Genomic DNA, 14,463 nt, shown 5'->3' on the forward strand with positions numbered 1-14,463 from the left:
CCTTTTTTATGGCTGCATAGTATTCCATGGGTATATGTGCCACATTTTCTTTATCCAGTCTATCATTGATGGACATTTGGGTTGGTTCCAAGTCTTTGCTATTGTGAATAGTGCCACAATAAACATGATGTGTATGTGTCTTTATAGTAGAATGATTTATATTCCTTTGGGTATATACCCAGTAATGGGATTGCTGAGTCAAATGGTATCTGTGGTTCTAGATCCTTGAGGAATTGCACACTGTCTTCCACAATGGTTGAACTAGTTTACAGTCCCACCAACAGTGTAAAAGTGTTACTATTTCTCCACATCCTCTCCAGTATCTGTTGTTTCCTGACTTTTTAATGATTGCCTTTCTAACGGTCATGAGATGGTATCTCATTGTGGTTTTGATTTGCACCAGTGATGATGAGCTTTTTTCATATGTTTGTTGGCTGCATAAATGTCTTCTTTTGAGAAGTATCTGTTCATATCCTTTGTCTACTTTTTGATGGGGTTGTTTTTTTCTTGTGAATTTGTTTAAGTTCTTTGTAGATTCTGGATATCAGCCCTTTCTCAGATGGATGGATTGCAAAATTTTTCTCCCATTCTGCAGGTTGCCTATTCACTCTGATGATAGTTTCTTTTGCCTTGCAGAAGCTCTTTAGTTTAATTAGATCCCATTTGTCACTTTTGGTTTGTGTTGCCATTGTTTTTGGTGTTTTAGTCATGAAGTCTTTGCCCATGCCTATGTCCTGAATGGTATTTCCTAGGTTTTCTTCTAGGGATTTTATGGTTTTAGATCTTACATTTAAGACTTTAATCCATCTTGAGTTAATTTTTGTATAAGGTGCAAGGAAGGGGTCCAGTTTCAGTTCATACGGCTAGCCAGTTTTCCCAGCACCATTTATTAAATAGGGAATCCTTTCCCCATTGCTTGTTTTTGTCAGGTTTGTTGAAGGTCAGATGGTTGCAGATGTGTGGTGGTATTTCTGAGGCCTCTGTTCTGTTCCATTGGTCTATATATCTGTTTTGGTACCAGTACCATGCTGTTTTGATTACTGTAGGCTTGTAGTATAGTTTGAAATCAGGTAGCATAATACCTCCAGCTTTCTTCTTTTTGCTTAGAATTGCCTTGGCTATGTGGGCTCTTTTTTGGTTCCATATGAAATTTAAAGTAGTTTTTTTCTGATTCTGTGAAGAAAGTCAATGGTAGTTTGATGGGGATAGTACTGAAACCATAAATTACTTTGGGCATTATGGCCATTTTCACGCTATGGATTCTTCTTATCCATGAGCAGGAACTGTTCTTCCATTTGTTTGTGTCCTCTTATTTCATTGAGCAGTGGTTTGTAGTTCTCCTTGAAGAGGTCCCTCACATCCCTTGTAAGTTGTATTCCTGGGTATTTTATTCTCTCTATAGCAGTTGTGAATGGGAGTTCACTCATGATTTGGCTCTCTGTTTGTCTATTATTGGTGTATAGGAATGCTTGTGGTTTTTGCACATTGATTTTGTATCCTGAGACTTTGCTGAAGTTGCTTATCAGCTTAAGGAGATTTTGGGCTTAGACGATGGGTTTCTCTAAGTGTAAAATCATGTCATCTGCAAACAGAGACAATTTGACTTCTTCTCTTCCTATTTGAATACTTATTTCTTTCTCTTGTGTGATTGCCCTGGCTAGAGCTTCCAGCACTATGTTGAATAGGAGTAGTGAGAGAGGTCATCCTTGTGTTGTGCTGGTTTTCAGAGGGAATGCTTCCAGTTTTTGTCCATTCAAATATTGGCTGTGGGTTTGTCATAAATAGCTCTTACTATTTTGAGATACATTCTATCAGTACCTAGTTTATTGAGAGTTTTTAGCGTGAAGGGCTGTAGAATTTTATCGAAGGCCTTTTTTGCATCTATTGAGATAATCGTGTGGTTTTTGTCATTGCTACTGTTTATGTGATGGATTACGTTTATTGATTTGCGTATGTTGAACCAGCCTTGCATCCCAGGGATGAAGCTGAATTGATCGTGGTGGATAAGCTTTTTGATGTGCTGCTGGATTGGGTTTGTCAATATTTTATTGAGGATTTTTGAATATATGTTCATCAGGGATATTGGCCTGAAATTTTCTTTTTTTGTTGTGTCTCTGCCAGGTTTTGGTATCGGGATGATAATGGCCTCATAAAATCACTTAGGGAGGAGTCCCTCTTTTTCTATTGCTTGGAATAGAACAGTTGCAGAAGGAACGGTACCAGCTCCTTTTTGTACCTCTGGTAGAATTTGGCTGTGAATCCATCTGGTCCAAAAAGAGCCTGTCCCCACTCACCCTACATGTCTCTGTAGGGTGACCACAGAGCACCCACTTTGTCATGAGCTGTTTATTTTTTTTCCCAGTTTTTTTTTTTGGGGGGTGGGGATGGAGTCTCACTCCGTCCCCTAGGCTGAAGTGCAGTGGCGCTATCTCGGCTCATTGCAAGTTCTGCCTCCCAGGTTCATGCCATTCTCCTGCCTCAGCCTCCCAAGTAGTTAGGACTACAGGCACCTGCCACCATGCCCGGCTACTTTTTTGTATTTTTAGTAGAGACGGGGTTTCACTGTGTTAGCCAGGATGGTCTCGATCCCCTGACCTCGTGATCCGCCCACCTCGGCCTCCCAAAGTGCCCAGTTTACATCATATTACTTATGTGTAGTTTTGTTCCCTGGTTGTTCCATAGATGTTTTGTTTCTTTAACTAGAGTGTTTTGCTTGGCTTGTAACCCCATAAGAGCTGGGCATGTGAGATATGCTTAGCTCATGTTGTCTCTGAGGGTACCGCAAGCTTCTGCACTGTGAGCCTCCATTTTGATTGTTTTAGGGCCTGTGTTAGGGAGAAGTGATAGGGGTATGGCCTTCAGTCATATGTCTTCAATACTTAATGGAAGGAGTGTTTATTCTCCTGTATTTTCCATAGAATGGTACATTGACAGTCTAACCATGTTACTCGTTGACTTAAAATCTTCAAAGTCCGCTTATTGCCAGAGATAAAGTCAAATATTGTTTGGAATGACATAAAAGATATGCTGTATTCTTTTTTTTTTAATTATGCTTTAAGTTTTAGGGTACATGTGCATAATGTACAGGTTATGTATACATGTGCCATGCTGGTGTGCTGCACCCATTAACTCGTCATTTAGCATTAGGTATATCTCCTAATGCTATCCCTCCCCCCTCCCCCCACCCCACAGCAGTACCCAGAGTGTGATGTTCCCCTTCCTGTGTCCATATGTTCTCATTGTTCAATTCCCACCTATGAGTGAGAATATGCGGTGTTTGGTTTTTTGTTCTTGCGATAGTTTACTGAGAATGATGATTTCCAATTTCATCCATGTCCCTACAAAGGACATGAACTCATCCTCTTTTCTGGCTGCATAGTATTCCATGGTATATATGTGACACATTTTCTTAATCCAGTCTATCATTGTTGGACATTTGGGTTGGTTCCAAGTCTTTGCTATTGTGAATAGTGCCACAATAAACATACATGTGCATGTGTCTTTATAGCAGCATGATTTATAGTCCTTTGGGTATATACCCAGTAATGGGATGGCTGGGTCAAATGGTATTTGTAGTTCTAGATCCCTGAGGAATCGCCACACTGACTTCCACAATGGTTGAACTAGTTTACAGTCCCACCAACAGTGTAAAAGTGTTCCTATTTCTCCACATCCTCTCCAGCACCTGTTGTTTCCTGACTTTTTAATGATTGCCATTCTAACTGGTGTGAGACTGTATCTCATTGAGGTTTTGATTTGCATTTCTCTGATGGCCAGTGATTGTGAGCATTTTTTCATGTGTTTTTTGGCTGCATAAATGTCTTCTTTTGAGAAGTGCCTGCTCATGTCCTTCACCCACTTTTTGATGGGGTTGTTTGTTTTTTTCTTGTAAATTTGTTTGAATTCATTGTAGATTCTGGATATTAGCCCTTTGTCAGATGAGTAGGTTGTGAAAATTTTCTCCCATTTTGTAGGTTGCCTGTTCACTCTGATGGTAGTTTCTTTTGCTGTGCAGAAGCTCTTTAGTTTAATTAGATCCCATTTGTCAATTTTGGCTTTTGTTGCCATTGCTTTTGGTGTTTTGGACATGAAGTCCTTGCCCATGCCTATGTCCTGAATGGTAATGCCTAGGTTTTCTTCTAGGGTTTTTATGGTTTTAGGTCTAACATTTAAGTCTTTAGTCCATCTTGAATTAATTTTTGTATAAGGTGTAAAGAAGGGATCCAGTTTCAGCTTTCTACATATGGCTAGCCAGTTTTCCCAGCACCATTTATTAAATAGGGAATCCTTTCCCCATTGCTTGTTTTTCTCAGGTTTGTCAAAGATCAGATAGTTGTAGATATGCGGCATTATTTCTGAGGGCTCTGTTCTGTTCCATTGGTCTATATCTCTGTTTTGGTACCAGTACCATGCTGTTTTGGTTACTGTAGCCTTGTAGTATAGTTTGAAGTCAGGTAGTGTGATGCCTCCAGCTTTGTTCTTTTGGCTTAGGATTGACTTGGCGATGCAGGCTCTTTTTTGGTTCCATATGAACTTTAAAGTAGTTTTTTTGAATTCTGTGAAGAAAGTCATTGGTAGCTTGATGGGGATGGCATTGAATCTATAAATTACCTTGGGCAGTATGGCCATTTTCACAGTATTCATTCTTCCTACCCATGAGCATGGAATGTTCTTCCATTTGTTTGTATCCTCTTTTATTTCATTGAGCAGTGGTTTGTAGTTTTCTTTGAAGAGGTCCCTCACGTCCCTTGTAAGTTGCATTCCTACGTATTCTCTTTGAAGCAATTGTGAATGGGAGTTCACTCATGATTTGGCTCTCTGTTTGTCTGTTATTGGTGTATAAGAATGCTTGTGATTTTTGTACATTGATTTTGTATCCTGAGACTTTGCTGAAGTTGCTTATCAGCTTAAGGAGATTTTGGGCTGAGACAATGGGGTTTTCTAGATATACAATCATGTCATCTGCAAACAGGAACAATTTGACTTCCTCTTTTCCTAATTGAATAACCTTTATTTCCTTCTCGTGCCTAATTGCCCTGGCGAGAACTTCCAACACTATGTTGAATAGGAGTGGTGAGAGAGGGCATCCCTGTCTTGTGCCAGTTTTCAAAGGGAGTGCTTCCAGTTTTTGCCCATTCAGTATGATATTGGCTGTGGGTTTGTCATAGATAGCTCTTATTATTTTGAGATACGTCCCATCAATACCTAATTTATTGAGAGTTTTTAGCATGAAGGTTGTCGAATTTTGTCAAAGGCCTTTTCTGCATCTATTGAGATAATCATATGGTTTTTGTCTTTGGTTCTGTTTATATGCTGGATTGCATTTATTGATTTGCCTATATTGAACCAGCCTTGCATCCCAGGGATGAAGCCCACTTGATCATGGTGGATAAGCTTTTTGATGTGCTGCTGGATTCGGTTTGCCAGTATTTTATTGAGGATTTTTGCATTGATGTTCATCAAGGATATTGGTCTAAAATTATCTTTTTTGGTTGTGTCTCTGCCTGGCTTTGGTATCAGGATGATGCTGGCCTCATAAAATGATTTAGGGAGGATTCCCTCTTTTGCTATTGATTGGAATAGTTTCAGAAGGAATGGTACCAATTCCTCCTTGTACCTCTGGTAGAATTCGGCTGTGAATCCATCTGGTCCTGGAGTCTTTTTGGTTGGTAAGCTATTGATTATTGCCACAGTTTCAGAGCCTGTTATTGGTCTATTCAGAGATTCAACTTCTTCCTGGTTTAGTCTTGGGAGGGTGTATGTGTCGAGGAATTTATCCGTTTCTTCTAGATTTTCTAGTTTGTTTGCATAGAGGTTTTTGTAGGATTCTCTGATGATAGTTTGTATTTCTGTGGGATCGGAGGTGATATCCCCTTTATCATTTTTATTGCGTCTATTTGATTCTTCTCTCTTTTCTTCTTTATTAGTCTTGCTAGCAGTCTATCAATTTTGTTGATCCTTTCAAAAAAACGAGCTCCTGGATTCATTAATTTTTTGAAGGGTTTTTTGTGTCTCTATTTCCTTCAGTTCTGCTCTGATTTTAGTTATTTCTTGCCTTCTGCTAGCTTTTGAATGTGTTTGCTCTTGCTTTTCTAGTTCTTTTAATTGTGATGTTAGGGTGTCAATTTTGCATGTTTCCTGCTTTCTCTTGTCAGCATTTAGTGCTATAAATTTCCCTCTACACACTGCTTTGAATGTGTCCCAGAGATTCTGGTATGTTGTGTCTTTGTTCTTGTCGGTTTCAAAGAACATCTTTATTTCTGCCTTCATTTTTTTATGTATCCAGTAGTCATTCAGGAGCAGGTTGTTCAGTTTCCATGTAGTTGAGTGGTTTTGAGTGAGTTTCTTAATCCTCAGTTCTAGTTTGATTGCACTGTGGTCTGAGAGACAGTTTGTTATAATTTCTGTTCTTTTACATTTCCTGAGGGGAGAGCTTTACTTCCAACTATGTGGTCAATTTTGGAATAGGTGTGGTGTGGTGCTGAAAAAAATGTATATTCTGTTGATTTGGGGTGGAGAGTTCTGTAGATATCTAATAGGTCCGCTTGGTGGAGAGCTGAATTCAATTCCTGGGTATACTTGTCAACTTTCTGTCTCGTTGATCTGTCTAATGTTGACAGTGGGGTGTTAAAGTCTCCCATTATTATTGTGTGGGAGTCTAAGTCTCTTTGTAGTCCCTCAGGACTTACTTTATGAAAGTGGATGCTCCTGTATTGGGTGCATATATATTTAGGATAGTTAGCTCTTCTTGTTGAATTGATCCCTTTACCATTATGTAATGGCCTTCTTTGTCTCTTTTGATCTTTGTTGGTTTAAAGTCCATTTTTTCAGAGACTAGGATTGCAACTCCTGCCTTTTTTTGTTTTCCATTTGCTTGGTAGATCTTCCTCCATCCTTTTATTTTGAGCCTATGTGTGTCTCTGCACGTGAGATGGGTTTCCTGAATACAGCACACTGATGGATCTTGACTCTTTATCCAATTTGCCAGTCTGTGTCTTTTAATTGGAGCATTTAGTACATTTCCATTTAAAGTTAATATTGTTATGTGTGAATTTGATCCTGTCATTTTGATGTTAGCTGGTTATTTTGCTCATTAGTTGATGCAGTTTCTTCCTAGCCTCGATGGTCTTTACAATTTAGCATGATTTTGCAGTGGCTGGTACCGATTGTTCTTTTCCATGTTTAGCGCTTCCTTCAGGAGCTCTTTTAGGGCAGGCCTGGTGGTGACAAAATCTCTCAGCATTTGCTTGTCTGTAAAGTATTTTATTTCTCCTTCACTTATGAAGCTTAGTTTGGCTGGATATGAAATTCTGGGTTGAAAATTCTTTTCTTTAAGAATGTTGAATATTGGCCCCCACTCTCTTCTGGCTTGTAGAGTTTCTGCCGAGAGATCCGCTGTCAGTCTGATGGGCTTCCCTTTGTGGGTAACCCAACCTTTCTCTCTGGCTGCCCTTAATATTTTTTCCTTCATTTCAACTTTGGTGAATCTGACAATTATGTGTCTTGGAGTTGCTCTTCTCGAGGAGTATCTTTGTGGAGTTCTGTGTATTTCCTGAATCTGAATGTTGGCCTGCCTTGCTAGACTGGGGAAGTTCTCCTGGATAATATCCTGCAGAGTGTTTTCCACCTTGGTTCCATTCTCCCCGTCAGTTTCAGGTACACCAGTCAGACATAGATTTTGTCTTTTCACATAGTCCCATATTTCTTGGAGACTTTGTTCGTTTCTTTTTATTCTTTTTTCTCTAAACTTCCCTTCTCGCTTCATTTCATTCATTTCATCTTCCATCACTGATACCTTTTCTTCTAGTTGATCGCATTGGCTCCTGAGGCTTCTGCATTCTTCACGTAGTTCTCGAGCCTTGGCTTTCAGCTCCATCAGCTCTTTTAAGTACTTCTCTGTGTTGGTTATTCTAGTTATACATTCGTCTAAATTTTTTTCAAACTTTTCAACTTCTTTGCCTTTGGTTTGAATTTCCTCCTGTAGCTCGGAGTAGTTTGATCCTCTGAAGCCTTCTCTCAACTCATCAAAGTCATTCTCCATCCAGCTTTGTTCCATTGCTGGTGAGGAACTGCGTTCCTTTGGAGGAGGAGAGGCGCTCTGCTTTTTAGAGTTTCCAGTTTTTCTGCTCTGTTTTTTCCCCATCTTTGTGGTTTTATCTACTTTTGGTCTTTGATGATGGTGATGTACAGATGGGTTTTTGGTGTGGATGTCCTTTCTGTTTGTTAGTTTTCCTTCTAACAGACAGGGCTCTCAGCTGCAGGTCTGTTGGTATTTGCTAGAGGTCCACTCCACACCCTGTTTGCCTGGGTACCAGCAGCGGTGGCTGCAGAACAGTGGATTTTCGTGATCCACGAATGCTGCTGTCTGATCGTTCCTCTGGAAGTTTTGTCTCAGAGGAGTACCCGGCCGTGTGAGGTGTCAGTCTGCCCCTACTGGGGGTTGCCTCCCAGTTAGGCTGCTCGGGGGTCAGGGGTCAGGGACCTACTTGAGGAAGCAGTCTGCCCGTTCTCAGATCTCCAGCTGCGTGCTGGGAGAACCACTGCTGTCTTCAAAGCTGTCAGACAGGGACCTTTACGTCTGCAGAGGTTACTGCTGTCTTTTTGTTTGTCTGTGCCCTGCCTCTCGAGGTGGAACCTACAGAGGCAGGCAGGCCTCCTTGAGCTGTGGTGGGCTCCACCCAGTTCGAGCTTCCTGGCTGCTTTGTTTACCTAAGCAAGCCTGGGCAATGGCGGGCGCCCCTCCCCCAGTCTCACTGCCACCTTGCAGTTTGATCTCAGACTGCTGTTCTAGCAATCAGCGAGATTCCATGGGCGTAGGACCCTCCGAGCCACGTGCGGGATATAATCCCCTGGTGCGCTGTTTTTTAAGCCTGTCGGAAAAGTGCAGTTTTAGGGCGGGAGTGACCCGATTTTCCAGGTGCCATCTGTCACCCCTTTCTTTGACTAGGAAAGGGAACTCCCTGACCCCGTGTGCTTCTTGAGTGAGGCAATGCCCCGCCCTGCTTCGACTCGCACACGGTGCACTGCACCCACTGTCCTGCGCCCATTGTCAGGCACTTCCTAGTGACATGAACCCGGTACCTCATATGGAACTGCAGAAATCACCCGTCTTCTGCGTTGCTCACGCTGGGGGCTGTAGACCGGAGCTTTTCCTATTTGGCCATCTTGGCTGCTTCTCTTATTCTGTATTCTTGAGCTTCATGCTATACTACTCCTTCCCGCCTAATTTTTGTCCCAGTAGTGCTGCATTGTTTGTAATGGCTCACATGGTACAAGCCATTTCATTCTTCAGAGATTTAACATGTCGCTTTCACAGTTGGGTATGCTAGTCTCCTCCTTTCTTGCCTGGGTAACATAGACAGATCCTTCACAATCCAGATGGGTTACCTTTTTTAGGACACAGGAAAGTACCCTTTCTCTGTGCTCATACTGTGTCCCATGTATACTTTCATCATTGCTTTTAACACCTCTCATTGATTGATTCTTCAAGTTTACTTTGAATACCTCCTGCGTGCTACGTATTGTCTTCTGTGCTTGGAAGACTGCATTGGCAAAACCAGATAGTTTCCTTTATACAGAAAATGTATTCTAGAAAATATTTACACAAAAACTTTTTTTTTTTGAGATGGAGTCTCACTCTGTCACCCAGGCTGGAGTGCAGTGGCATGATCTCGGCTCACTGCAAGCTCCGCCTCTTGGGTTCATGCCATTCTCCTGCCTCAGCCTCCCAAGTAGCTGGGACTACAGGTGCCCACCACCACACCTGGCTATTTTTTCTTTTTGTATTTTTACCAGAGATGGGGGTTTCACCTTGTTAGCCAGGATGGTCTCGATCTCCTGACCTCGTGATGAGCCCACCTTGGCCTCCCAAAGTGCTAGGATTACAGGTGTGAGCCACCACGCCCGGCCTACACAAACATGTTCCTAAATGACAAATGTGAAAAGCGTTGTGAAACACAACCGTGAACACCGAGCCAGCTGGGTAAGTTGAGGAGGCTTTCTACCATGGAGGAGTCATATAAGCTCCCCTGGAGGGCTGAGCTGCACTCATCCAGGTGAAGAGAGAAGGGGAAGAATGATTTATTGAAATTACTGGTTTACCCATCTGTGGCCTCCTTCAGAGCTTAAGTCATGTCAGGAGAGATTCTGTATGTATTGCATTATTGTATCCCCAGAACCTAGTGCAGTGCATGGAACATTTATCAGTGTCTGTTGAACAGAACAAAGCTGCTGAATGATCGTTCAAAAGTCTGAGGTCTTGTCAATGAGTACCATAGAAGCTGGCTATTTGTAGCCCCTGCTGCAAGGGAGGAGGAACTCCTGTCATTTCTTTAGTTCCTGTAACCCTCTTAGATTTCCTTTATTCATATTGTCGTTTTCTCTCTCCATTCTTACTACACTGGATTTCTCAGAAGAGCTTCCAAGACTCTTCCACAATTACTGTGGGACAACAGTAAATAGTCTGCAATTTTCAAGGGCTCAGTATCTTTTAGTCCTAAAAATGGCTGTATGTTGACCTTTTGCCACCCAGCTGTGGTGTGATGGAAACTGGGGGGCCCAATCTGAGAGTGAAGTGCCTTGTAATCCTGGATTTCAAGAATGAGCCTGAATTTATTTTCCTGTCAGCTCATGATGGTGACTTGTTTCTGAAATTCTTTGCACTAGTAATAGACTGAGCATTCTTAGGACTGCACAAAGAGAACTTTGAAAAGTCCTTTAATTTGTCTTAAGTTGACATAGCTGTTTATTTTCTATTTAGTTCTATCTATTCTTTTTTAATATTGAAAGAGAAATTTATTTTTAATACAATTAAAAGCTTAAAAATATAAAGTAAGAAATGTCTTATTTCTAGCCTGCTTTCAGCTAACAGTTAATAAGTTTATTTTGGCTCATGCTCAAATAAAATACACAACTTGTGGCTACCATCCTTGTCCTAACCCTCTTTGCAGCCTTGAAGATAGCTTCCCTCATCAAGAAAAATCATCCCCATTATTTAAGCACTTTACCTAACCCTATTGAGCTTTTTTGTCTTAGTCCCTAAACTAAATGTTTAAAAAGTAGGTTAAATTTCAAAACTGACCACAGGTCAAGTTGAGAATGAGATGCAAAGTTGAGCATATGTCTCTAAAGTCCTAAATAACTTTCCAACTTGGTCTTTCAGGCTGGTAGGAGGGATTCTGGGTTGAAGCCATGGACTGGTACAAACATTTCTGGAGGAATATACACCATGACTTGCACATTTTGGAATAACAACAATCATGTTTTTCCAATAGCATATAATCTCAAATTCTTCTCTCCAGGAGGGAAAAAAGCATAAGCCATACCATCTGGCAGTGGCTAGATTAGTTTCACATTGGAAAACTGTTGTAGAGGGTAGCTGGGTGTCTCTAAAGCGATGGAACCACAATAAAGATTCAAGAAACAAAATAATAATTGCAATTAAAAATGAAACACTGCCAAATTCTTGAGTTGCCGTCTAGGGTTTTAGTGGTTTGGTTATTTGTATCTTCATTACTTCTACACTCTGGATACAGAGATTCCAGGGATTAGCGGGTGGCAATAAAGTTTCATTGTAGCACAGTGAGAAATGCAAACAGCATTACAATTTGTGAGGCAGAACAAAACCAAGCTCTTTTTAATTCATGTTAGCATAGAAGCAATGTAACCAAAAAATACAGAAATAGTCTTGTGTTTGGAAAAGGATGGTAGTGGGATGCATTGTTTTGTGTCATGGATTGATTTGGGACATGCACTTAATCTTTTTTTTTTTTTTTTTTTTTTTTTTGAGATGGAGTCTCTCTCTGTCTCCAGGCTGGAGTATAGTGGCATGATCTCAGCTCACTGCAATCTCTGCCTCCCGGGTTCAAGAGATTCTCCTGCCTCAGCCTCCTGAGTAGCTGGGATTATAGGCACATGCCACCACACCCAGCTAATTTTTGTATTTGTAGTAGAGATAGGGTTTCACCACGTTGGCCGGGATGGTTTCGATATCCTGACCTCGTGATCTGCTCGCCTTGGCTTCCCAAAGCGTTGGGATTACAGGTGTGAGCCATTATGCCCAGTCATACTTACTCTTACTGTGTCTATTTTGAACCTCTTACAAAGTTTCTGTCTGTAGGAGATTTATTGTCACTAATACTTTATGGAATTGGCTCTTATATTGGTGTATATTGCTTGATTTTTTCTACGTTTTAAATAATCTAAGAAGGAGACACTGAAAGCAAGCTTTTCCGTTTCAGTTTTTAGTTTTGCCACTGAGTGCATTGCCTTAATACAATTGTGTTAACTTGTGAGTTCATTCTGTTTCACTTACCCTTTGCAATGAGGAAGTAAAATAGGGATATATAAATAACTCAAAACTTAATTACTTATGTTAGGATGGAAAATATATGATTTAACACACACATCAGGGGAAAAACAAGGTTCAAGTAATAAATATGTTCATGATTAACGACCAGAGGAAATTCCATTGCAGGCACATCCAGGCTCACTCACACACAAGGCATGCCACTGATAATCCTGCACATCCTTCCCCCTCCATCTCTGCCTCAGCCTCCATTCAAATGCACATTCCTCCAAACAGAGTATACACACAGACACAGGATAAAATTGGTAAAGAAAGCTCATGTCAGTTAAATGCCAGATTTTGATGAGAAAGCTTATTAATTGGATAAGCTACGAATCTCTAAGGCAGATTACTGTAAATGGGGAGGGGTGAGGATGTTGTTAGAATTGAAACTTAGAGCCTCACAAAACATGATTTGTGAGGTATCTTTCCCATAGTGATTTATTTTTGGGAACAAAATGTCATTTGTATAAAATATATTGTTGGCAATTGATATAGTCATTTAATTTTATGACAGTGTATTTTAGGAATAAATGCATTCCCCAAAGGGGCATTGGCATAGAATTAGCAATAGAAATGATGTCACTGCTATAAGGAAATCCAAAGTGGCTAAGATTCCAGAGAGTCCTGCAGAGGTCTATAGCCTATGGATTATTAAACACTGCTGCCTGATAAGGGGTGAGAACAAAAAGAACAAAAGCAAATGTACATGATTTAGAAATTCCGAAACATGGTTTGAGCAACTGGAAATAGAAACCAAAAGCTTTCTCAAATATGTTTTAAGTAAACTATCAGCCTACAAAAGAATACTTTTTTAACTTTGACCAGCAATGTAAAACTTTCAAAATATGCATAAAAATCTTAAATACATACTCAGTTTATACAGAAAAATAGGCCTGGCGTGGTGGCTCATGCCTGTAACCCCAGCACTTTGGGAAGCTGAGGTAGGAGGGCTGCTTGAGCCCAGGAGTTTGAGACCAGCCTGGGCAGCATGGTGAGACCCTATCTCTACAAAAAATTTAAAAATTAGCCAGGCATGATGGCATAAGCCTGTAGTCCCAGGTACTCCCAAAAATCAATAATAAGACTTGGGCAGCTCAAGAGGAAATTCTAAAGAAAGGGGATCTGATAATTAAATCATGAGATGTATCCTGGACCTCCTGGCATTAACCTTCTGGGAGGCAGCAGGAAGGAGATAATCTCAGCCAATGTCTCTATTCTGCAAAAAAAATGGAGCCCAGAGAAGCTAAAATGGTTTGGGTAGAACTCTACAGTAGTTCACTCTGATTGATATGGGCTTCCTATGTTTGATTCAGTTGTAGGAATCCTATCAATGAAAATTAGTTTTGGCAGGAGCCTGCTCTGTCAGCTGTGACCCACTATTGCCTTCTACTACACTATAATTACATGCCCACTCAAAAGGTATTAGGACCTCCACAGATACCAAAGTGTACTGAAAGTAAATTGAAAACGAATGGGAAACAAAATGCAGTTTAAAAAGCTTCACAAAATCAGCAACCTTAAACAGAAAAAATTACCATTTTGCCCCAGATAAAATCTCAGGATGCCATCAAAGGCAATCCTTTGAGTATTTCAGGGTCTCAAATTGTATTAGTGGGAAGGAGGCAAAACAATTCTATTTGGACTTGAACTGAACCAAAGTTTAATTTGAGATAAATTCCATAATTTACCTAGGAATCAGTGTCTTTTTTTTTCTTTTCTTTTCTTTCTTTTTCTTTCTTTCTTTCTTTTTTTTTTGTTTTTTTGTTTTTTTGTTTTTTTGAGGCAGGGTCTTGCGCTGTTACTCAGGCTGGAATGCAGTGAAGCAATCATGGCTCACTGAAGCCTTAACCTCCAAGGCTTAGGCGATTCTCCCACCTTGGCATCCTGAGTGGCTGGGAGTACAGGCACATGCCACCACCCCTGGCTAATTTTTCATCTTTTGTAGAGACAGGGTCTCGCCATGTTGCCCAGCCTGGCCTCAATATTCCTGGGCTGAAGCAATCCTCCCACCTTGGCTTCCCAAAGTGCTGGGATTACAGGTGTGAGCCATCGTGCCCAGCCTATTTACAATATTATTAAAGTTATAGCTTTGAAAGAGTTGAAAAGTGTTTTCA

The sequence above is a fragment of the Homo sapiens genome, chromosome 15, assembly GCF_000001405.40.
Source record: "Homo sapiens chromosome 15, GRCh38.p14 Primary Assembly".
Lineage (NCBI taxonomy): Eukaryota > Metazoa > Chordata > Mammalia > Primates > Hominidae > Homo > Homo sapiens.